Here is a 24,931-nt window from a genome sequence, read left to right as displayed (position 1 = left end):
GAGCAAAGGTCTCTGTGTCATAAATAAGTTTAAGGAAACGTGCTGTGCCTCGATGTGCACGTAGGTCAGATTTATGTTTGACTTTACACAAACATCTCAGAGCAGTAAAGAGCAGTATTGCCGCCAGCATGTCTCACCTCCAGCCATAAGGTAGTTTTCTCCTATCTCAGTAAATAGAATGTATGATCGGGCCTTACACCGAGACATTCCGTTCCCAGGGACGAGCAGGACACAGATGCCTTCCTCTTATCTCAACGGCAAAGAGGCCTTCCTCTTTCACTAATCCTCCTCAGCACAGACCCTTTACGGTGTTGGGCTGGGGGACAGTCAGGTCTTCCCCTTCCCACAAGGCCATATCTCAGGCTGTCTCAGTGGGGAGAAACCTTGGACAATACCCAGGCTTTCTTGGGCAGAGGTCCCTGCAGCCTTCCGCAGTGCATTCTGTCCCTAGATACTCGATAATGGAGAATGGCAATGACTTTTACCAGGCATATTGCCTGCAAACACATTTTTAACAAGGTGCATCCTGCACAGCCCTAAATCCATTAAACCTTGAGTCAACACAGCACATGTTTCTGCGAGCACAGGGTTGGGACTAGGGTTACAGATTAACAGCATCTCAAGGCAGAATTTTTCTTAGTACAGAACAAAATGGAGTTTCTTATGTCTTCTTCTTTCTACAGAGACACAGTAACAGTCAGATCTCTCTTTCTTTCCCCCACAGTGAGTAAAATGAAAGACGGTTGGATGGATGGATGGATGGATGGATGGATAAATAAATGAATGGATGGAAGACTAGATGGATGGATGAATGGATGGATGGATGGATGAATAAATGGATGGATGGATAGATGGACAGACGGACAGATGGATGGATGAATAGATGGATGGATGGATGGATGGATGGGAGAATGGATAGGTGAAGAGAATGGATGTGTGGATGAGTGGATGTATAGATAAATGGATGCATTGATACATGGATTTCTGCATGCGATCTTCCTGAGGCAGAGTCTAACTTGCTATCTGCAGAGTCATCTTTATATTTCCAGACCCAGAACATGGTCTAAAACACTATAGGAGCCTAATGAATGGGGAATGAATAAGTTCATAGATTAACAGACACATTCATTTTACTGTTTCTTCTTTTTACTTTAAACCTCTCCTGCTCACTTTTTTTTTTAGACGCATTCATTGACCGGAATCCCACTCATTTTTAACACCATCTTATTTCTTTCTCATATTGATGTCTTCTTTTATATCTTTAGAAATTTAAACCACACTTGCTGTATGGTTCTTTGCCAAATAATGCTATTCTCTGGAGTTCTGGAGTTGGAGCTAATCCTGCTATATGCTGTGTCTGCTTACTGTCATTCATGAAGATTGTTTCCTCTTATGTTTTGTAATTTTGAGCTGTGAATTCAGCTTCAGCAGGGTGTTATCAGTGGGAATGCACATGCCCACCAAGGTTCAAAGAGGTTTCACATCTGCTTCTGCCAAGAGCTCTTCATGGGTGTTACCAACCCTGGACTACATTGTTATTATTATTATTATTATTATTTATTATTATTATTATTTTGAGACAGAGTCTTGCTCTGTTGCACAGGCTGGAGTGCAGTGGTGCGATCTCAGCTCACTGCAACCTCCACCTCCCAGGGTCAAGCAACCTCCACCTCCCGAGGTCTCCTGCCTCAGCCTCCCGAGTATCTAGGATTACAGGCTCCTGCCAACATGCCCGGCTAATTTTTGTATTTTTAGTAGATACGTAGTTTCACCATGTTGGCCAGGCTGGTCTTGAAATCCTAACCTCAGGTGATCCTCCCACCTCAGCCTCCCAAAGTGCTGGGATTATAGGCACGAGCTACCACACCTGGCCTGGACTATATTATTTGTTGACATTTGGGCTTCCCAGACCATGCAGATGATGTAAACTTGAACCCCAAGTCCAAGTGAGGCCAAGCCTTTGGTTATGAATTCTCAAAAGAGACCATTTATTGTCACCAAATCTCAGAGTGAAACAGACAAGGTCCTTTTATGCTCCCTGAACTGGAGGCAGATTTTTTTCCTAGTTTACTCTTTCACCAAGGATGTCACCCCTTAAGGGTACAAGCTTTCTATTAGTGTTTATGTTTTCAGTTCCCCAGACAAGGCCTTATCTCCAATCTCTAGGTAGGTGTAAAGCCCTAGGCCCTTCAATGCCAAGATCACAGCCACCCAGCAAGTTGCACAGCTCTAGTGTTCAGTTTCCTCTTCGTGCCTCCTGGGGATTTCCCTTTCTTTTTTGCAACTAAGCTGCATGTTTTAAAGGATGTTTGTTTGGTTTTATGCAGCGCTTCTAGATGCATAGTGGTGAGGACATGCTTGTCAGGTTATTCCATTCACACTATCACCCAAAAGGCTATTTCCCCATATAAATAAGTTGACATCTCTCCCACCTTAAAACAACCAGCCAACCAACAACTCTTTTTTTTTTTTTTTCTTTTTTCTGAGATAGGGTCTCACTCTGTCACCCAGGCTGGAGTGCAGTGGTGCAGTCACGGCTCACTGCAGCCTCAATCTCCTGGGCTCAAGCCATCTTTCTGCCTTGGCCTCCCAAGTACCTGGGGTTACAGGCACATGCCACCAGATCTAACTAGTATTTTGACTTTTGTAGGCATAGGGTCTCACCATGTTGCCCAGGCTGGTCTCAAACTCCTAGCCTTAAGTGATCCTCCCTCCTCAGCCTCCCAAAGTGCAGGGATTACAGGGGTGAGTCATGTCCAGCTCCAACAACTCATTCTCTACCCCTCACACACAGCACGACTTCTCACCTCCTTCACAGCCAAACGTCTGGGAAGAGCCGTCTGTCCTAGCAGTCTACACTTTCTCATCTTCCCCTCCCTCTGCAACTGGTTGCAGGCTTCCATGGGCTTCCAGCACTCTACAGAAACGACTGCCATCAAAATCATGACCTGCTGTTTTAATCAAAGGACACTTTCAAGCCTCCTGCAGACAGCACTGGACACTTCTGGAAATGTTCTCTCCCCATGGCTCTGTGGCTTTACACACACCTGCTTTCCCTCCCCGCTACCCAGCCGTGCTCTCTGACTCTCTTTGCTGGCGGCATGCCTTCTCAAAGGTCAGTCCTGGGCTGCTTTTCCCCTCCCTCTGCACTCCTTCTGGGAAATTTCACCTAGGCCCAAGGCTCCAATTGCTATCTCTTTTTTTTTGAGACGGAGTTTCACTCTTGTTGCCCAAGCTGGAGTACAATGGCATGATCTCAGTTCACTGCAACCTCCGCCTCCTGGGCTCAAGCAATTCTCCTGCCTCAGCCTCCCAAGTCTCTGGGATTACAAGCGCACACTACCATGTCCAGCTATTTTATTTTTTTTTTTTGAGACGGAGTCTCGCTTTTGTCGCCCAAGCTGGAGTGCAATGGCATGATCTCAGCTCACTGCAATCTCCGCCTCCCAGGTTTGAGCGATTCTCCTGCCTCTGCCTCCCAAGTAGCTGAGATTACAGGCATCCACCACCATGCCCGGCTAATTTTTATATTTTTAGTACAGACGGGGTTTCACCATGTTGGCCAGACTGGTCTTCAACTCCGGACCTCAGGTGATCCGTCCACCTCATCCTCCCTAAGTGCTGGGATTCCAGGCATGAGCCACCGCGCCCAGCCTAATTTTGTATTTTTTTTTACTAGAGATGGGGTTGCACCATGTTGGTCAGGCTGGTCTTGAACTCCTGAGTTCAAGTGATCCACCCGCCTCAGCCTCCCAAAGTGCTGGGATACAGGCGTGAGCCAACTGCGCCTGGCCCCAATTACTATCTCATACCCTGATGTTCCCCATGTCTCCATCTCCAGCGGTGGCAGATGTGGTCCTCCTAGATCTATTCTCGCATTATTTTAAAGGAATAGCACTACCTCTGATATGGTTTGGCTGTATCCCCACGTGTCGTAGGAGGCAATTGAATCATGAGGGTGGTTACCTCCATGCTGTTCTGGTGATAAAGTTGTCACAAGATCTGATGGCTTTATAAGGGACTTTTGCTCCTTTGGCTCAGCACTTTTCCTTGCTGCCGCCACATGAAGAAGGATGTTTTTGCTTCCCCTTCTGCCATGACTGTATAAGTTTCCTGATGCCTCCCCAGCCATACTTAATTGTGAGTCAATTAAACCTCTTTCCTTTATAAATTACCCAGTCTCGGGTATGTCTTTATTAATAGCATGAGAATGGACTAATACAACCTCTTCTTTTTTTCTTTCTTTTTTGAAACAGAGTCTTGCTCTGTTGCCAAGACGAGTGCAGTGGTGCAATCACAGCTCACTGCAGCCTTGACCTCCTCACTTTCAGGTAATCCTCCTGTGTCAGCCTTCCAAGTAGCTGGGACTACAGACATGTGCCATGACACCTGGCTATTTTTTGTATTTCTTGTAGAGATGGGGTCCCACTATGTTGGCCAGGCTGGTGTTGAGCTCCTGGGCTCAAGTGATCCACCTGCCTCAGCCTCCCAAAGTGCTGGGATTCCAGCCGTGTGCCATGCACGTTGCCAGCACCATTATTTTTAACTGGGCTTGTGGCCACCCAGAGGAAAAGCTGCATTTCCCAGACCCCCTTGTGGCTAAGGGCATCCATGCAACTGGTTCTGGCTCCTCTTCCCCACTCCTCTTTCTCTCTCCTGCTATTTAGAATCCAGACATGATGGTGAGATATCATGGACAACGGCAGCATGCCAGGGTTGGCTGAGCCAGGAGATGGAAGGAGCTTGAATCCCTGCAGCCAGCACAGGACACCTGAACTGCCTGCCTCAGTGTAATTACACGACAGAGAACTAACACTTTCTTTTGTATAAATCACTGTCGTCCTGGGTCTCTGTAACATGAACCCAAACCTATGTCTTAACCTATGTCTCTCTCCTGACTTCAAACCCTATCTCTCTAACAGCCACTTCAATATCCCCCTGTGAAGACCTCAAAATTATTTTAGGATGCATGACCACCCCCACCAAGCCTAATACTCTTCTTTCTCCTAGGCTCCTTTCTGCCCCCCATCAGCACCTCCAAACACCCCTGACTTCTGCCTGCTTCTCCTCATGCTTACTTCTTCCATCCTGGTTCTGCTCCACTCATTGCTCCTAAACTGCGCTTAAATGTTCCCCTGTCTCTATTTTCCACATTGCACCTGGAGTAAGCCTGCCAAAAAAAAAAAAAAAAAAATGCTTAAAAGGGTCGGATGTGGTGGCTCACTCCTGTAATCCCAGCTACTTGGGAGGCTGAAGTGAGAGGATTGCTTGAGACTGGGAGTTCGAGACCAGCCTAGGCAATGTAGCAAGACCCGGTCTCTACAAAGAATTTATTTTTATTTATTTAATTTATTTTTATTTTTATTTTTTGAGACAGAGTATTGGTCTGTCACCCAGGCTGGAGTGCAGTGGTGCAATCTTGGCTCACTGCAGCCTCCACATCCTGAGTTCAAGCAATTCTCCTGCCTCAGCCTCCCAAATAGCTGGAATTATAGGTGTGCACCAGCACACCCAGCAAATTTTTGTATTTTCAGTACAGACAGGGTTTCTCCATGTTGGCCAGGCTGGTCTCCAACTCCTGACCTCAGATGATCCACCCACCTAGGCCTCCCAAAATGCTGGGATTACAGGTATGAGCCCTCACACGTGGCCAGGTCTATACAAAAAATTTAAAAATAAATTAGCCAAGCATGATGGCTCATGCCTGTAATTCCAGGAGGCTGAAGAGGAGGATCCCTTGAGGTCAGGAGTTCAAGGCTACACTGAGCTATGACCATACCACTACACTCCAATGTGGGTGACAGAGAACCCATCTCTAAAGAAAAGAAAAATGCTTAAAAGATTTTTCCAACTTCTGATCATTTCAACAAACACTCCCTTCCTTTTGCAACATCCATCTTCCTCCCTCCCACTACTTCATCTTGGCTAATTCTTACTCTTTAGGTCTCAATCTAGCTGTCACTTTCTAGGGCTGTCTTCCTCATAGGCAAAACTAGTAGAAAATGAGGCTATCTGTAAAGTCTAATGTGGACCATGTGTCATTAGGAATGCCCTAGGCTGCAAGTAGCAGAACAGTGACTAAAGCAATGAAGTCATAAAGTATGGAGAGCTGATACACGGAGCATGGTGGAATGGTGGGTTGGAAAAAGTTTAGGGGCCAGGCACAGAGGCTCATAGCCTGTAATCTCAGCACTTTGAGAGGCCAAGGGAGGAGGATCACTTGAGCCCAGGAGTTCAAGACCAACCTGGACAACATGGCAAAACCCCATCTCTAAAAAAAGAAAAAACAAAAATTAGCCAGGCATGATGGCGGTCACCTGTAGTCCCAGCCACTCAGGAGGCTGAGGTGGAAGGAACACTTGAGGCTGGGGGCGGTCAAGGATGCAGGAAGCTGTGATCACATTATCACACTATTTCACTACAGCCTGGGTAACAGAGCGAGAGATCCTGTCTGAAAAAAAAAAAAAAAGGCAGGGCATGGTGGCTCATGTCTATAATCCCAGCACTTTGGGAGTCCAAGGTGGGTGGATCACTTTGGTTTTCTTTGTTGTTGTTGTTTTGAGACAGAGTCTTGCTCTGTCACCCAGGCTGGAGTGCAGTGGTGTGATCTTAGCTCACTGCAAACTCTGCCTCCTGGGTTCAAGCGATTCTCATGCCTTGGCCTCCCAAGTATCTGGGATTACAGGCGCATGCCACCACGCCCGGCTAATTTCTGTATTTTTTAGTAGGGACGGGGTTTCACCATGTTAGTCAGGCTGGTCTCAAACTCCTGAGCCTCCCGAGTAGCTGGAATTACAGTGCATGCCACCATGCCTGGCTAATTTTTGTATTTTTTGTAGAGATGGGGGTTTTACCATGTTGCCCAGGCTGGTCTCAAACTCCTGACCTCAAGTGATCTGCCCGTCTCGACCTCCCAAAGTGCTGGGTTTACAGGCATAAGCCACCGTGCCTGGCCTTTGAAATATCCTTTATAATAACCAAACTGGTAAACATGTTTCTCTGAGTTCTGTGAGCCACTCTAGCAAGTTAATGTCACCCAAGGGCAGGGCCGGGAGAACCCTGATTTATTAGCCAGTTGGTTAGAAGTGCAGGTAAAAAAACCTGGGGCTTGCAATTGGCATCGGAAGTCAGGGGCAGTCTTGTGGGATGCAGCCCTCACCCCGTGAGATGTGACGCTATCTCCAGGTAGATGATGTTATAATTGGATTAAATCAGTGGACATGGCCGGGCGCGGTGGCTCAAGACTGTAATCCCAGCACTTTGGGTGGCCGAGGAGGGCAGATCACAAGGTCAGGAGATCGAGACCATCCTGGCTAATACGGTGAAACTCCGTCTGTACCAAAAACACAAAAAATTAGCTGGGCGTGGTGGCAGGCACCTGTAACCCCAGGTACTCCGGAGGCTGAGGCAGAGGAATCACTTGAACCCGGGAGGCAGGGGTTGCAGTGAGCCAAGATTGCACCACTGCAATCTCACTGGACGACAGTGAGACTCCGTCTCAAAAAAAAAAAAAAAAATCAGAGGACACCCAGCTGGTGTCTGCAGTAGAACTGATTGCTTGTTTGGTGTGTGATATGGTTTGGATCTGTGTCCCTGCCCAAATCTCATGTCAAATTGTAAACCCTAGTGTTGGAGCTGATGCCTGGTGGGGGGTGATTAAATTGTCAGGGTGGTTTCTCATGATTTAACATGGTTTAACACCATCCCCCTTGGTTCTGTCGTCGTGAGAGGGAGTTCTTGTGAGATCTGGTGGTTTAAAAGTGTGTGAAACTGGCCGGGTGCGGTGGCTCATGCCTGTAATCCCAGCACTTTGGGAGGCCGAGACAGGTGAATCACCTGAGGTCTGGAGTTTGAGACCAGCTGACCAACATGGTGAAACCCCAGCTCTACTAAAAATACAAAAAATTGGCTGAGCGCAGTGGCTCACGCCTGTTATCCCAGTACTTTGGGAGGCCGAGGCGGGTGGATCACGAGGTCAGGAATTCAAGACCAGCCTGACCAACATGGTGAAGCCCCGTCTCTACTGAAAATAAAAAAATTAGCCGGGTGTGGTGGTGCGCCCCTGTAAACCCAGCTACTCAGGAGGCTGAGGCAGGAGAATCACTTGAATCTGGGAGGCAGAGGTTGCAGTGAGCCGAGATCGAGCCACTGTACTCCAGCCTGGGAGACGGAGTGAGACTCCATCTAAAAAAAAAAAAAAAAATTAGCCAGGCATGGTGGCACAAGCCTGTAAACCCAGCTACCTGGGAGGCCGAGATAGGAGAATTGCTTGAATCTGGGAGGCGGAGGTTGCAGTGAGCCGAGATTGTGCCATTGCACACCAGCCTGGGTGACAAGAGCAAAATTCCATCTCAAAAAAAAAAAAAAAATGTGTGTGTGACACCTACCCCTTCACTCTCTCTCTTGTTCCTGCTCTGGCCACGTAAGACGTGCCTGCTTCCCCTTTACCTTCTGTCATAACTGTAAGTTTCCTGAGGCCTCCCCGGAAGCTGAGCAGATGCTTTCTTTACAACCTGCAGAACCGTGAGCCAATGAAACCTCTTTTCTTTATAAATTACCCAGTCTCAGGTATTTCTTTATAGCAGTGTGAGAATGGATTAACGCAGTGTGCAACCCACACACATCTGACGTCAGAAGCAGGCTGTGAGAGTTTCAGGAGAAACTGAGCTTGTGGTTTGTACTCATTTATTTTAGAAACCAAACTTGAAACTGAAAAATCTAAAACACAACTTAGTAATATAATAAATTATGAAAACATTCTATCATAAAAACAAATGTGGGGTCGGGTGTGGTGGCTCACGCCTGGATTCCCAGCACTTTGGGAGGCTGAGGCAAGCAGATCACCTGAGGTGAGGAGTTCAAGACCAACCTGGCCAACATGGTGAAACCCCATCTCTACTAAAAACACAAAAAATTAGCCGGGCATGGTGGGGCACATCTGTAATCCCAGCTACTCAGCAGGCTGAGGCAGGAGAATCACTTCAACCGGGCAGGCGGAGGTTGTAGTGAACCAAGATCGCACCATTGTACTCCAGCCTGGGCAACAAGAGTGAAACTCTGTCTCAAAACAAAACAAAACAAACACAAATGTGGGCATTTTAAGTAAAATGAGAATACTCCTTTTGATGTGATGTTAGCCAAATCTTTGGTGAGTTTTTTTGTTGTTGTTTTTTTTCTTTTGAGATGGAGTCTCGCTCTGTCGCCCAGGCTGGAGTGCAGTGGTGCGATCTCAGCTCACTGCAAGCTCTGCCTCCCGGGTTCACGCCATTCTCCTGCCTCAGCCTCCCAAGTAGCTGGGACTACAGGTGCCGGCCACTACGCCTGGCTAATTTTTTGTATTTTTAGTAGAGATGGGGTTTCACCGTGTTAGCCAGGATGGTCTCGATCTCCTGACCTCATGATCTGCCCGCCTCGGCCTCCCAAAGTGCTGGGATTACAGGCATGAGCCACTGCGCCCAGCCTGGTGAGTTTTATAACTTCCCTTTCTCTGCCCACCTCCAACCTAGCTATTGGATTTCTCTGTTGAACAATGTTAGCACTTCACTAAAGACTGCTGCCTGGATGTGAGGGCGATCTGGCTGCAACATGTTACCCCACTGATCGCCAGGGTTGATTCAGCTGACCTGGCTGGCTAGGTGGGTGTCCCCTTCCTCCCTCACTACTCCATGTGCAACCTCCTGAAGCTGTGCACTCCGTTAAAGAGGACAACCATCCCCGATAGACAAGGACCAGTCTTCGGTCAAGGGCATACAAGTAGCTGTGCTCCCCTGCTAGACCCTCCCAACAAGCTCTCAAGACTGCTGTCTGCCAATCTGTATCCAGAGTTGGAAAAAAGAAAGAAAAAAAAGAACTTGTCCCAGAGTGTTCCTTACTGAGTTATAAATTAGTTGTAATTTGGAAAGGGAACATTCTGTGGTAGATAGTGATTGAAAATTCAAAGATCAAAATATTAAAGGATGTATATTCTGAGAAAACTTGCATTCACATTGTAGTTTTACTTTTGTTTTTGTTTGTTTTGAGACAGGATCTTGCTCTGTCGCCCAGGCTGGAGTGCAGCGGTGCGATCTTGGCTCACTGCAGCCTTGACCTCGTGTGCTCAAGCAATTCTCCCATCTCAGCTGGGACCACAGGTGCACGAAACCATGCCCCAGTAATTTTTAATTTTTTGTAGAGATGAGTGTCTCACTGTGTCACACAGGTTGGTCTTGAACTCCTGAGATCAAGCGATCCTCCCATCTCAGCTGCACAAATTACTGGGATTACACGCCTGGCCCAGAACAAATTTTAAAAAAAGTTATGTGTGTTTTTCAATATCTCATGACGCAACACTACAGAACAACATATATATATATGTATATATATATAAATCTATCTCCCTATAAAAGCCAAACAAGACAAGCCTGGGCCACATGTGGCTCATGATCTGTCAGCTGGAGGTGTCTTCTTTTTTTTTTTTTTTTGGAGACAGAGTCTTGCTCTGTCACCCAGGCTAGAGTGCAGTGGCGTGATCTCGGCTCACTGCAACCTCCACCTCCCAGGTTCAAGTGATTCCCCTGCCTCAGCTTCCTGAGTAGCTGGGATTACAGGTACTCGCCACCTTGCCTGGCTAATTTTTGTATTTTTATGTTTTAATATTTTATTTATTTATTTATTTATTTTGAGATGGAGTCTCACACTGCCGCCCAGGCTGGAGTGCAGTGGTACGACCTTGTCTCACTGCAACCTCCACCTCCTGGGTTCAAGCGATTCTCCTGCCTCAGCCTTCTGAGTAGCTGGGACTACAGGTGTGTGCCACCACGCTTGGCTAACTTTTTGTATTTTTGAGACGGGGTTTCACCGTGTTAGCTAGGATGGTCTTGATCTCCTGACCTCATGATCCACCCACCTTGGCCTCCCAAAGTGCTGGGATTACAGGCGTGAGCTACCATGCCTGGCCAATTTTGGTATTTTTAGTAGAGACGGGGTTTCACCATCTTGGCCAGGCTCGAACTCCTGACCTCGTGATCCAGCTGCCTCGGCCTCCCAAAGTACTGGGATTAAGGCATGAGCCACCGCACCCGGCCTGTTGGCGGTATCTTCTAAGCACAACTGGGGGCGGTCATGGCATTCAAGACCAGCCTGGGCAACGTGATGAAACCCCTTCTCTACAAAAAATACAAAAATTATCTGGGTGTGGTGGCAGGTGCCTGTAATCCCAGCTACTTGGGAGGCTGAGGCAGGAGAATCGTTTGAACCTGGGAGGTGGAGGTTGCACTCCAGCCTGGGCAACAGAGCAAGACTCCGTCTCAAAAAAAATAAATAAATAAAATAAATAAACATAATTGAACAAGCTCCCTTGGAAGTTCCCTGAAGTGGCTGTAGAGGGACCCTCCTTATCTTGGCCTTTGGTGGTGAGAGCTGGGGAGCCTGTACTCAGATGGCCTTAAATCAGGGTGTCTCTCCGACCTATGTGCTATTAACATGTTGGGACAGCTGATTCTTAATCGTTGAGAGGCTCTCCTGCATGTCCTAGGATACTTAGTGGCATTTCTGGCCTCTATCCACTAGGTGTCAGAAGGATCCCCCTAGCTGCCATAACCAAAAATATCTCCCGACATTCCCAAATGTCCTCTGGGTGGGGAGAAGGGAACAAAACCCACCTAACTGAATGAAGCATTTTAACCAATTAACAGACCTGCCCGCGGAGCCTGCAGCCAGTTCAGGAAAAGGCCTCCTGTGGAACCAGACTCACCCGGCTGCAGGGAGATCCACATGGGTCTCCTCTTCATTTCGGTGCCACCAGAGAGGATTAAGATGAATAGCAGATGGTTGGGTGCAGTGGCTTACTGGGAGGCTGAGGAGGGTGGATCACCTGAGGTCTGGAATTCGAGACCAGCCTGGCCAACATGGTGAAACCCCATCTCTAGTAAAAATATAAAATTAGCCGGGCATGGTGGCACATGACTGTAATCCCAGCTACTCGGGAGGCTGAGGCACGAAAATTGCGTGAACCTAGGAGGCAGAGGTTGCAGTGAGCCAAGATCACTGGGCTGCAGGTGGCACTCCAGCCTGGGCAACAAGAGCAAAACTCCATCTCAAAAAAAAAAAAAAAAAAAAAAAAAAAGCCTGGGCGCAATGGCTCATGCCTGTAATCCCAGCACTTTGGAAGGCTAAGGCGGGTGGATCATGAGGTCAGGAGATCAAGACCATCCTGGCTAACATGGTGAAACTCCATGTCTACTGAAAATACAAAAAAATTAGCCGGGCGTAGTGGCAGGCACCTGTAGTCCCAGCTACTCGGGAGGCTGAGGCAGAAGAATGGCGTGAACCCAGGAGCTGGAGCTTGCAGTGAGCTGAGATCACGCCACTGTGCTCCAGCCTGGGCAACAGAGCAAGACTCTGTCTCAAAAAAAAAAAAGAAAGGAAGAATAGCAGAACACTAGCCCTGGAGGAAAGGAATGAATAAGATAATGCACCACGAACCAAGAAGAGGCTTCCAGGAAGATGCTGCAATTGGAGAACAAGACAAAGTTCTGGAAGTCACAAATACGACGGACCAAATTTAAAAATCCATCACAGCCTGGGAAACATGGCAAAACCCCATCTCTACAAAAAATAAAATAATTAGCCGGGCATGGTGGAGTGCATCTGTACTCCCAGCTACTCAGGAGGCTGAGGTAGGAGGATCACTTGAGCCCAGGAGGTTGAGTCTGCAGTGAGCTGAGATTGCACCACTGCACTCCAGCCTGGGTGACAGAGTGAGACCATGTCTCAAAAATTAATTAATTAATTAAGTTAAATAAAAAATTAATCAAAGGAAGGTACGGGTGGAAAAGTTTTGAAACACCTCTCAGGATGTAGAGCAAAATGCCAACAAAAAAGAAAGAAAAGAAAGGAAAATATGAAAGAAAAGAGATGGAGAATCAATTCAATCCATATTTGTTTAACAGAAGTTCCAGAAAGAGAGAACATAGCTGGACGTGATGGTATGGGCCTGTGGTCCCAGCTGCTCGTGAGGCTGGGGCAGGAGGATTGTTTGAGCCCGGGAGGTTGAGGCTACAGTGAGCCGTGATGGCACCACTGCACTCCATCCTGGGCAACACAGCATGACCTTGTCTCAAAAAACAAAAACAAAGAAAAAACTCAGAAAGAGAGAACAGAGAAAATGAAGGGGTGGGAACAACAAAAGAAGATTCCATTTGATTGAGAGATATTTCAAGCAGAGGAGTCTCTGCAAGTGGTCCTCACCTCAGCGTCCCCTGGAATCACCTGAGGAGCTTTGAAACCACTGATCCCGAGATTCCTGCTTCCAGCCAAGATGGAGTCACGTGGGCTGGGTCCGCCCTCCTGTCTGAAACAATCACCACCACCACAGTGACAAAAACAGACCCAATACATGGAACAACAGTGTTCAAAACGCTGAACATCAAGCAATGAGAGAAAGTAACAAAAGCAATGAAATCCCAGAGAGAAAGGACATCAACAGTCCTTTTAGGACTGTGCAGTTTACTGCTTCGAGAGCGTTTCCAAAGTGTGGGGCAGGGCAAGGGGGATGTGGGTTGTTGCAGCCCAGAGGATTCGCAGAGTTGAGGAAATGGAGTGGCTGAGTCCGAGGAGACCACAGCAGCTAGAGCTTAGATAATGGAACACCTACAAGACAGAGGTGCACAGAGAGAGTACCCCAGAGGACTTCAGAGGATTCAGCAAAGAACTAATCAGCACATGTGTGTGAAGAAACTCTCCAAGGCCAGGGAAAGAACCAGCTGAAAGGATTCGAGGAAACAACGCCCAAGATTCACACGAGGTAGGGCCAGGACCTCTTCCCACTGGCCAGCTGGAAAAACTGATCATTCGCTAGGCATGGGGTAGAGTGCTCAGGAAGATCTTGTCTCAGTAATGGGGAATAATTAAACCTAGACTTCCGGTGCAGTGGCTCATGCCTGTAATCCCAGCACTGTGGGAGGCTGAGATGGGTGGATCACTTGAGGTCAGGACTTTGAGACCAGCCCAGGCAACACAGCAAGACCACATCTCTTAAAAAGGCCGGGCAGGCACGGTGGCTCACACCTGTAATCGCACTGTGGGAGGCCAAGGTGGGCAGATCACTTGAGGCCAGGAGTTCAAGAGCAGCCTGGCCAACAGGGTGTAACCCACTCTCTACTAAAAATACAAAAATTAGCCAGGCATGGTGGCGTGTGCCTCTAGTCCCAGCTACTCAGGAGGCTGAGGCAGGAGAATCAGTTGAACTCCAGAGGCAGAGGCTGCAGTGCACCAAAATGGCACAACTGCCCTCCAGCCTGGGCAACGGTGAGACTCTATCTAAAAAAAAAAAAAAAAAAAAAAAAATTAAGCCTACACTGAGCATTAATCTGGACCTGTCTAACAAATCATAAAGATTACACAAATATTTGGTGTTCTACAAGGTAAAATTTACAATGTCTGATAAGCAATCAAGGATTACCAAGCATAAGGAAAAAATTAACAGAATGAAGTAATAACTTACAGATTGGGAGAAAACATTTGTAAGCAATACATCCAATAAGGTGTTAATACCCAAAATATATAAGAAACTCAAAAAACTCAGAGTGAAAAAAACAAATAAGCTGATTTAAAATGGGCAAAGGACCTGAACAGATATTAAAAAAAAAAAAGACACAGAAATGACCAACAAATATATGAAAAAATGTTCAACAGCACTAACCACCAGGAAAACGCAAATTAAAAGCACGATGAGATATCACCTGTTGGTGCTGGTGTTGGTGAAGATATGGAGAAAAGGGAACCCTTACCCACCGTTCGTGGGAATGTAAATTATTACAGTCATTCTGGAAAATTATATGGAAGTTCCTCAAAATATAGGCTGGGCGTGGTGGCTTGCATCTGTAATCCCAGCACTTTTGGGAGGCTGAAGTGGACAGATCACTTGAGCCCAGGAGTTTGAGACCAGCCTGGACATCATGGTAAAACCCCCGTCTCTGCAAAAAATACAAAAATTAGCCAGGCATGGTGGCATGCACCATAGTTCCAGCTACTAGGGAGGCTGAGGTGGAAGGATTGCATGAGCAGGGAAGAGGTGGAGGTTTGCAGTGAGCCAAGATAGTGCCACTGCACTCCAGCCTGGGTGATAGAGCCAGACTCATTTAAAACAACAACAACAACAACAACAAAACGAAAAAACTAAAAGTAGACTTACCAAATGATCCAGCAATCCCACTTCTGGGTGTATATCCAAAGGAACTGAAAAATCAGTGTGTCAGAGATATCTGCATTTCCAGGTTCACTGCAGTGTTATTTACAACAGGCAAATCATGACATCAACCTAAGCATCCATCAGCAGATGAAAGGATAAAGAAAATGTGGCCAGGCGCTGTGGCTCACGCCTGTAATCCCAACACTTTGGGAGACCAAAGCAGGCAGATTACTTGAGGTAAGGAGTTTGAGAGCAGCCTGACCAACATGGTGAAACCCCCATCTCTACTAAAAATACAAAAATTAGCTGGGCATGGTGGCAGGCGTCTGTAATCCCAGTTACTTGGGAGGCTGAGGCAAGAGAATCGCTTGAAGCTGAGAGGCAGAGGCTGCAGTGAGCCGAGATTGCACCACAGCATTCCAGCCTGGCTGACAGAGTGAGACTCCATCTCAAAAACAAAAAACAAACAAACAAAAAACAGGCTGGACGTGGTGGCTCACGTGTATAATCCCAGCACTTTGGGAGGCTGAGGCGGGCAGATCACCTGAGGCCAGGAGTTTGAGACCAGTCTGGCCAACAGGGTGAAACTCTGTCTCTAATAAAAATACAAAAATTAGCCGGGCATGGTACGGTGCACTCCTGTAATTCCAGCTACTTGGGAGGCTGAGGCACGAGAATTGGTTGAACCCAGAGGGGCGGAGGTTGCAGTGAGCCAAGACCAAGTCACTGCACTCCAGCCTGGGTGACAGAGCAAGACTCTGTCTCAAAAAAAAAAAAAAAAAAAAAAAAAAGAGATGAAAAGACAGAAAAGATAAAGAAAATGTGTATATATACACATTTGAATAGAATACCATTCAACTTTAAAAAGAAGCAAGAAGCAAATCCTGTGATTTGCAACTACATGGATGAAGCTGGAGGACATTATGCTGAGTGAAATGAACTAGGCCCAGAAAGACAAATACCGCATTCTGGCATGTTCTCACTTAAATGTGTAATCTGAAATAATTGAACTAATAGAAGCAGAGAGTAGAATGGTAGTTAGCAGAAACTGGAGGTGGGGAGGAAACGGAGTGACTTTGGTCAAAGAGTACAAAGTTGCAGCTAGACAGGAAAAAATGATGAGTATTTAAGATGATAAACGTGTTAATTAGCTTGATTCAATTACTCTATGCTGTATCTATATATCATAACAGCATGGTGTACCCCATAATTGTACATGATTAAAATTTATAGAATGCTTTTTAAAAATTGGAATATGAAGATGAACTTCAATGGCAAAAAAATTCTTTTTAACCCAGAAGATGAGATTGGTTTAAAAGCTCCCCACTTTTAAGAAAAGATTACCAGGCAGGCAAAGAGGCAGAAAACATGACCATATTAAGAAGAATAATCAGTTAATGGAAACCAACCTAGAACTGACACAAATGTTACAATGAGCAGAAAACATTAAAATAGTTACTATAACTGAATGCCATATGTTAAAAAATTAAGTAGCGATAAGGAGATACAAAACAAAGGCCCAAGTCAAGCATCTAAAAGATTACAATGTCAGAGATGAAAAGTACAATAAATAGGGTTGATAGTAGATTAGATATTGCAGAAGGAAGCCTTAGTGAAGTTGAAATCATAGCAAAAGAAATCCAAAATGAAACGCAGAGAAAAAACAATTTTTTTTTTTGAGACAGGGTCTCACTCTGGCTGGGGTGCAGTGGCACCATCTCGGCTCACTGCAGCCTTGACCTCCTGGGCTCAAGTGATCCTCACAGAAAAAAAAACAATTTTTTTTTAAGACGGAGTGTCACTCTTGTCTCCCAGGCTGGAGTGCACTGGCGCAAGGTCTCGGCTCACTGCAATCTCTGACTCCTGGGTTCAAGCGATTCTCCTGGCCCAGCCTCTCAAGTAGCTGGGATTATAGGCATGTGCCACCACACTCGGCTAATTTTTGTATTTTTAGTAGAGACAGGGTTTCACCATGTTGGCCAGGCTGGTCTTGAACACCTGACCTCAAATGATCCACCCACCTCAGCCCCCCGAAGTGCTGGGATTATAGGCGTGAGCCACAGGGCCAGGCAGAAAAAACAATTTTAAGAATGAAAAACATGGCTGGGCACAGTAGCTCACACCTGTAATCCCAACATTTTGGGAGGTCAAGGCATGAAGATCACTTGAGGCCAGGAGTTTGAGACCAACCTGGGCAACATAGCTAGACTCCATATCTACAAAAAAGAAAAAATTAGCCAGGTGTGATGGTGTGCACCCGTAGTCCCAGCTACTTAGGAGGCTGAGATGGGAGGATTTCTTGAGCCTAGGAGGTGAAGGTTGCAGTGAGTTATGATTGTGCCACGGCACTGCAGCCTGGGTGAGAGTGAGACCCTGTCTGGAAAGTAAAAAGAAAACCACATCAGTGAGCTGTGGAATAACTTTATGCAGGCTAATATGTGAGTAATTGGAGTTGAAGGAAAGGAGAGATAGAGGGGCACAGAAAAAATACCTTAAGGACTAATAGCTTAACAGTTTCCAAATTTGATGAAAATCATAAATCTACACATCCAAGAAGCTCAACAATTCTCTAACACAAGAAACTACACCAAAGCACATCATAATCAAATTGCTCAAAGCCACTGATAAAGTGAAAATCTTAAAGTAGCCAGCATCTAGGTGCGGTGGCTCATCCTTGTAATCCCAGCGCTCTGGGAGGCCAAGATAAGAGGAGTTCAAGACCAGCCTGGGCCACATAGCAAGACCCTTGTCTCTTCTTTTCTTTTTTTTTTTTTTTTTGGAGACGGAGTCTCACTTTGTCGCCCAGGCTGGAGTACAGTGGTGCAATCTCGGCTCACTGCTGGCTCGGCCTCCCAGGTTCACGCCATTCTCCTGCCTCAGCCTCCCCAGTAGCGGGGACTACAGGTGCCTGCCACCACGCCTGGCTAATTTTTTGTATTTTTTAGTAGAGACGGGGTTTCACTGTGTTAGCCAGGATGGTCTCGATCTCCTGACCTCGTGATCCACCCACCTCGGCCTCCCAAAGTGCTGGGATTACAGGTGTGAGCCACCGCGCCTGGCAGCAAGACCCTTGTCTCTACAAAAAAAAAAAAAAAAAAAAAAATAGACCGAGTGCAGTGGCTCATGCCTGTAACCCCTGCACTTTGCAAGGCCAAGGTGGACTGATCACTTGAGGCCAGGAGTTTGAGACCAGTCTGGGCAACATGGAGAAACCTTGTCTCTACTAAAAATACAAGAATTAGGCCAGGCACAGTGACTCACACCTGTAATCCCAGCACTTTGGGAGGCCAAGGTAGGCGGATCACCTGAGGTCAGGAGTTCGAGACCAGCCTGACCAACATGGAGAAACCCCGTCTCTACTAAAAACAGAAAATTAGCCGGGCATGGTGGCGCACATGCCTGTGATCCCAGCTACTTGGGAGGCTGAAGCACGAGAATCGCTTGAACCTGGGAGGTGGAGGTTGCAGCCGAGATCACACCATCACTGCACTCCAGCCTGGGTGAACAGAATGAGATTCTGTCCCAAAAAAAAAAAAAAAGAAAAAGCCTGATGTGGTGGCGTGTGTCAGCTAGTTGGGAGGTTGAGGCAAGAGGATCACTTGAGCCCAGGAGTTTGAAGCCAGCCTAGGCAACATTATAATGAGACCCCTATCTCTTAAAAAAAAAAAAAAAAAGGGAGGGGGGTTAAGAGAGTGGATTAGTGTGGGCGACAAGCCACCCAGGCGCCGAGGCAAGAGACAGAGGACACGAGCTGTTCCAGTATAATAAAATATAAAACAAGAATAGTTATACCAGATATAGATCTTAGATATGATTATATATGAATATCATTAATCATTAGTTTGTAGCAATTACTTTTTATTCCAATATTATAATAATCTTCGCTCTATAATCATAGCCTAGGAAAAACCAGGCCATACAGAGATAGGAGCTGAGGGGACATAGCGAAGTGTGACCAGAAGACAAGAGTGCGAGCCTTCTGTTATGCCCGGACAGAGCCACCAGAGGTCTCCTTGGTCTAGTGGTGACGACAGCGTCTGGGAAGACAGACGCCCGTTGCCAGGCGGACTGTGGTCCATCGGTAGCGTAAGTGTCAAGGGAAAACACCCACTACTTAGCAGACCGGGAAAGTGGGGGGAGGGGTCTCCCTTTCCCCGGGGGAGTTTAGAAAAGACTCTGCTCCTCCACCTCTTGTGGAGGGCCTGACATTAGTCAGGCTCGCCCGCAGTTATCCAGAGGCCTAACCGTCTCCCTGTGATGCTGTGCTTCAGTGGTCACACTCCTAGTCCGCCTTCATGTTCCATCCTGTACACCTGGCTCTGCCTTCTAGATAGCAGTAGTAAATTAGTGAAAATACAAATAGTCCCTGATATGCAGAAATAATGGCATAAGCTCTCTTTCTCTCTGTCTCCTCTCCTTCTCTGCCTCGGCTGCCAGGCAGGGAAGGGCCCCCTGTCCGGTGGACACATGACCCACGTGACCTTACCTATCATTGGAGGTGACTCACATTCTTTACCCTGCCCCTTCTGCCTTGTATCCAATAAATAACAGCGCAGCCAGACATTCGGGGCCACTACCGGTCTCCGGGCATTGGTGGTAGTGGTCCCCCCGGGCCCAGCTGCCTTTTCTCTTATCTCTTTGTCTGTGTCTTTATTTCTACACTCTCTCGTCGCCGCACACAGGGAGAGACCCACCGACCCTGTGGGGCTGGTCCCTACAGATTAGTGGTTGGCAGGGCTAGGGAAGAGAGGGGAATGGGCAGTGACTATTCGGCATAGAGTTTCGTTTTGGGTTGATTAAAATGTCTGGATAGTGGCATAGATTGCACAACTTTGTGAATATACTAAAAACCACTGAATTGTACTCTGTTTTTTTAGATAACATCTCACTCTGTTGCCCAGACTGGAGTACAGTGGTGCAATCATAGCTCACTGCGTCCTTGAACTGGGCTCAACCAGTCCTCCTGCTTCAGCCTCCACAGTAGCTAGGACTACAGGCACAGCTAATTTTTTTTTTTTTTTTTTTGAGACAGAGTTTCACTTTTGTTGCCCAGGCTGGAGTGCAATGGCGCCATCTCAGCTCACAGCAACCTCCGCCTCCCAGGTTCAAGCCATTCTCCTGCCTCAGCCTCTGGAGTAGCTGGGATTACAGGCATGCGCCACCATGCCCGGCTAATTTTGTATTTTCAGAGACGGGGTTTCTCCATGTTAGTCAGTCTGGTCTTGAACTCCCAACCTCAGTTGATCCGCCCGCCTTGGCCTCCCAAAGTGCTGGGATTACAGGCATGAGCCACCGTGCTCAGCCAGGCCCAGCTAATTAAAAAAAAAAAAAAAGTGTGTGTAGGCTGGGCGCAGTGACTCACGCCTGTAATTCCAACACTTTGGGAGGCCGAGGCGGGTGGATCACGAGGTCAGGAGATCGAGACCATCCTAGCTAACACAGTGAAATCCTGTCTCTACTAAAAATACAAAACATTAGCCGGGCATGGTGGTGGGCACCTGTAGTCCCAGCTACTGGGGAGGCTGAGGCATGAGAATGATTTGAACCCGGGAGGTGGAGCTGGCAGTGAGCCTAGATTGTGCCACTGCACTCCAGCTGGGGAGACAGAGCGAGACTCTGTCTCAAAAAACAAACAAACAAACAAACAAACAAACAAAAACGAGTGTGGTGGCACACGCCTGTAATCCCGTCTACTCAGGTGGCTGAGGCAGGAGAATCGCTTGCACCTGGGAGGAAGAGGTTGAGTGAGCCGAGATCATGCCACTGCACTCCAGCCTGGGCGATAGAGCAAGACTCCATCTCAAAAACCAAAACAAAACGAAGGAAGGAAGGAAGAAAGTGAGGGAGGGAGGGAGGGAGGGAAAAATTATCAGAATTAATAAGTTACTTTGGCCGGGCTTTGTGGCTCACACCTGTAATCCCAGCACTTTGGGAGGCCGAGGTGGGTGGATCACGAGGTCGGGAGTTCGAGACCAGCCTGGCCAACATGGTGAAACCCCATCTCTACTAAAAATACAAAATTTAGCTGGCTGTGGTTGCATGCGCCTGTAGTCCCAGCTACTCGGGAGGCTGAGGTGGGAGAATCACTTGAACCTAGGAGGCAGAGGTTGCAGTGAGCCGAGATTGTGCCATTGCACTCCAGCCTGGGTTACATAGTGAGACTCCATCTCAAAAAAAAAAAGTTGCTTTCACTTTGTAGGATGCATGATGGATATATAGAATATATATATAAGTAATAAAGCTTCTATGAGTGGAGGAACACCAGGGCTCCTGTTCCGTGGGAATTGGATAAAGCCACATGGACACACATGGAGTGGTTTTAAGGAGTGGAGAGTTTAATAGGCAAGAAAAAAGGGAGCAGAAAGAAGGAAGAAGCTCCCCTGTACAGAGACAGAGGGAGAGGGGCTCCAAAGCCAACAGAGGAGACCACAAGTGCGGGGGATACCAGCCAGTTATGAGTAGGCTGGAGGAGGCGGTGTCTGATTTGCATAGGGCTCAGGGAACTGGTTTGACCAGGCATTTTATTCGTGTAGCCTTTGAAAAAACTGGCCCTCCCACCCTAGCCTTTTAATATGCAAATGCAGGGTGCAATGATGTTTTACACAGGTGGGGATATGTGGGGGCAGCCACGTTGCCAGGCACATGTGGGGGCATGTCCTTGGGTTGTTCAGTTTGCACCATTTGGAGTTAGATGGCTTCTAAGCAAGAGGAAACAATTTGAGTTACAGTATTGAGTATACAGGGTCCAAATATTTATACAAGACATATAAACAAGACAGGGCTTAATAAAGGGGTTAACCAATTCCATAAAGAAGACAGGAATTCATTAAAGAGGGATTGTAGCCACCCGGGGCTGAAGCCGGCATTTTCTCTGAGCCTGTCAATGATTTTGATTTCATCTTTAAGTACCTGTAGATTTTCCTCTACTTTAGTAGAGGTTTTAATCCAGAAGCAGCATGTTTCATTTAAAAGTGCATCACTAAACCCAGTAAAAAGTCCTGGCAGATTCGGTGATAGTAACTTTTATGCTTCCTTTTCGTTAGTAACTACTATCCCTGCTATAAGGATAATAAGCAGAATACTACGGCAATGGAAACTCTGTCCAATATTTCAGCTTTAAGGTGCTACCGTGTATAACCCTATTGAAAATAGTGGGGTGAGTACAGCAATTCCCACAAGTGTGGTGTAGTAGATAATTTCCACTTAAAATTTTACTTGCCAAGATATAGAATTTCCCTTTGGGGGTTTATGAAGTTCTTTTGTTTTATTTTCCCAAACAAAGAAATCTCCAAGCTATGGGCACCCTACTCACTTTTTTTTTTTTTTGAGACGGAGTCTTGCTCTTTCGCCCAGGCTGGAGTGCCGTGGCGCGATCTCAGCTCACTGCAAGCTCCACCTCCTGGGTTCACGCCATTCTCCTGCCTCAGCCTCCCAAGTAGCTGGGACTACAGGTGCCCGCCACCACGCCCAGCTAATTTTTTTGTATTTTTAGTAGAGACAGGGTTTCACCATGTTAGCCAGGATGGTCTCGATCTCCTGACCTCGTGATCCACCCGCCTTGGCCTCCCAAAGTGCTGGGATTACAGGCGTGAGCCACCGCGCCCTGCTTTTCTTTTTTTTTTTTTTTAAAGACGGAGTCTCGCCTTCTCACCCAGGCTGGAGGGCAATAGCGCGATCTCGGCTCACTGCAACCTCCACCTCCTGTGTTTAAGCTATCCTCCTGCCTCAGCCTTCCTAGTAGCTGGGATTATAGGCACACACCACCATGCCCAGATAATTTTTTTGTATGTTTAGTAGAGATGGGGTTTCACCATGTTGCCCAGGCTGGTCTGAAACTCCTACCTCAGGTCATCCACCCACCTCGGCCTCCCAAAGTGCTGGGATTACAGGGGTGAGCCACCGCGCCTGGCCCCTACTCACTTTTATTACCTGGCAGAATTTATAGGATAATTGCCCAGAACCAGTATATTGATTCAGATTTTTACATTCTCCATTCCTTTTTTTTTCTTCCAAGCTGCAGATCACCACTTGATTTACAGGAATAAACAGGGTTAGTCTAAAATGTAGGCAAAAAGCTTAAAAACAATTAATGAGACTAGGATTTAATGACAAATGTATGATAAGCTTTGGGACACAATTTCTCCAGGTCTCATTTTTGGTAAAAACAAATTATGATAGGACCATGTGTGTTGTTTGTAGAATAAACTTTAGTTTTATACTTGGCCTGATGATTTGCCCAGGCTGGAGTGCAACAGGGCAATCTTGGCTCACCGCAACCTCTGCCTCCCAGGTTCAAGCTGTTCTCTTGCCTCAGCCTCCCGAGTAGCTGGGGTCACAGACATGCACTGCCACGCTCAGCTAATTTTGTATTTTTAGAAGAGTCCAGGATTTCTCCATATTGGTCAGGCTGGTCTCGAACTCCCAACCTCAGGTGATCCACCTGCCCAGCTTGGCTTCCCAAAGTGCTGCGATTACAGGCATGAGCCACCGTGCCCGGCCAGGAATGGTTATTTCTACACAGGCCTTTTGAATTGGCTTTGATGAAACTTTGTTGCACAAGGAATTTCAGATAAGACCTTTAAAGCCGAGCCCAACTATGGGTTTGTATCCTCAAATACCTGTGAGTTGGGTGATCCTCTCCTCTTAAGGTTCCAAGATAAACTTGGAGCTCCCAGGCCTGTTAGAAAGTGACACTCTTTACTGACCATAGGTTAGGAACCCTGTGTGGGGACTGTGTAGACTAACTATGAGGCCAGTTCTCTCCAAGGGGTTTTTATTGGGTCTGCATGTCAAGCTTGATTCCTTAAAGGGAAACACACCCTTTCAGTGAAACCTTGGTAAAATAACCAGTTTTTCCAACTGTGTCCTGTTGACAAAGAAAATTGACTCTTTTTTTTTTTTTTTTGAGACGGAGTCTTGCTCTGTTGCCTAGGCTGGAGTGCAGTGGCACGATCTCGGCTCACTGCAAGCTCCGCCTCCCGGGTTCACGCCATTCTCCTGCCTCAGCCTCCTGAGTAGCTGGGACTACAGGCACCGCCACCACACCTGGCTAATTTTTTTGTATTTTTAGTAGAGACGGGGTTTCACCGTGTTAACCAGGATGGTCTCGATCTCCTGACCTTGTGATCTGCCCACCTCGGCCTCCCAAAGTGCTAGGATTACAGGCGTGAGCCACGGCACCCGGCCAGAAAATTGACTCTTATTGCACTGATGCAAACAACCTTACTGCCATAAGTTAAGAGTACTCACAGATAGTCTCCACGTTCTAGAGGAACCAGGCAGAGAAAAACAAACATGCTCCAAATTTTGTTCACAGGCATATACCTTACGCAATTATTTATTTTATTTTATTTTGAGACAGAGTTTCGCTCTTGTTGCCAGGCTGGAGTGCAATGGTGTGATCTTGGCTCTGCAACCTCCACCTCCTGGGTTCAAGCAATTCTCCTGCCTTAGCTTCCCGAGTATCTGGGATTACAGGCATGCACCACCACACCCAGCTAATTTTGTATTTTTAGTAGAGATGGGGTTTCTCCAAGTTGGTCAGGCTGGTCTTAAACTCCCAACCTCAGGTGATCCACCCTCCTTAGCCTCCTAAAGTACTGGGTTTGCAGGCATGAGCCACGGTGCCCGGCACCTTACTTAATTATTAAAGGCTGTAAATAGTTCAAAATAAGTTTTCTTGACTCTGAAAGACAAAACAAGGATCCTTAAGTTATCTTAGGGACTCTCATGCGTATTTGCAATATTCCAAGCAAAAGTTAA

General features: G+C 46.9%; 1 pseudogene, besides 3 other annotated features; it reads left to right on the top strand.

Moving 5' to 3' along the window:
- Nucleotides 2,103-2,152: an enhancer, noted in NCBI's record as "active region_10669". NCBI's record gives its function as "activates an Ori minimal core promoter by ATAC-STARR-seq in GM12878 lymphoblastoid cells {active_cell/tissue: GM12878}" and the evidence as "EXISTENCE:reporter gene assay evidence [ECO:0000049][PMID:35858748]".
- Nucleotides 2,443-2,542: an enhancer, noted in NCBI's record as "active region_10668". NCBI's record gives its function as "activates an Ori minimal core promoter by ATAC-STARR-seq in GM12878 lymphoblastoid cells {active_cell/tissue: GM12878}" and the evidence as "EXISTENCE:reporter gene assay evidence [ECO:0000049][PMID:35858748]".
- Nucleotides 9,560-9,913, top strand: RN7SKP127 (RN7SK pseudogene 127; annotated as a pseudogene).
- Nucleotides 20,008-20,510: an enhancer, noted in NCBI's record as "H3K27ac-H3K4me1 hESC enhancer chr16:29731775-29732277 (GRCh37/hg19 assembly coordinates)". NCBI's record gives its function as "activates a minimal SCP1, AML or CMV promoter by ChIP-STARR-seq in naive H9 embryonic stem cells {active_cell/tissue: H9 hESC(naive)}" and the evidence as "EXISTENCE:reporter gene assay evidence [ECO:0000049][PMID:30033119]".

Source organism: Homo sapiens, chromosome 16 (genome assembly GCF_000001405.40).
Source record: "Homo sapiens chromosome 16, GRCh38.p14 Primary Assembly".
Classification (NCBI taxonomy): domain Eukaryota; kingdom Metazoa; phylum Chordata; class Mammalia; order Primates; family Hominidae; genus Homo; species Homo sapiens.
Note: the sequence above shows the minus strand (reverse complement) of the source record. Positions and strands in the feature narration are given on the sequence as shown.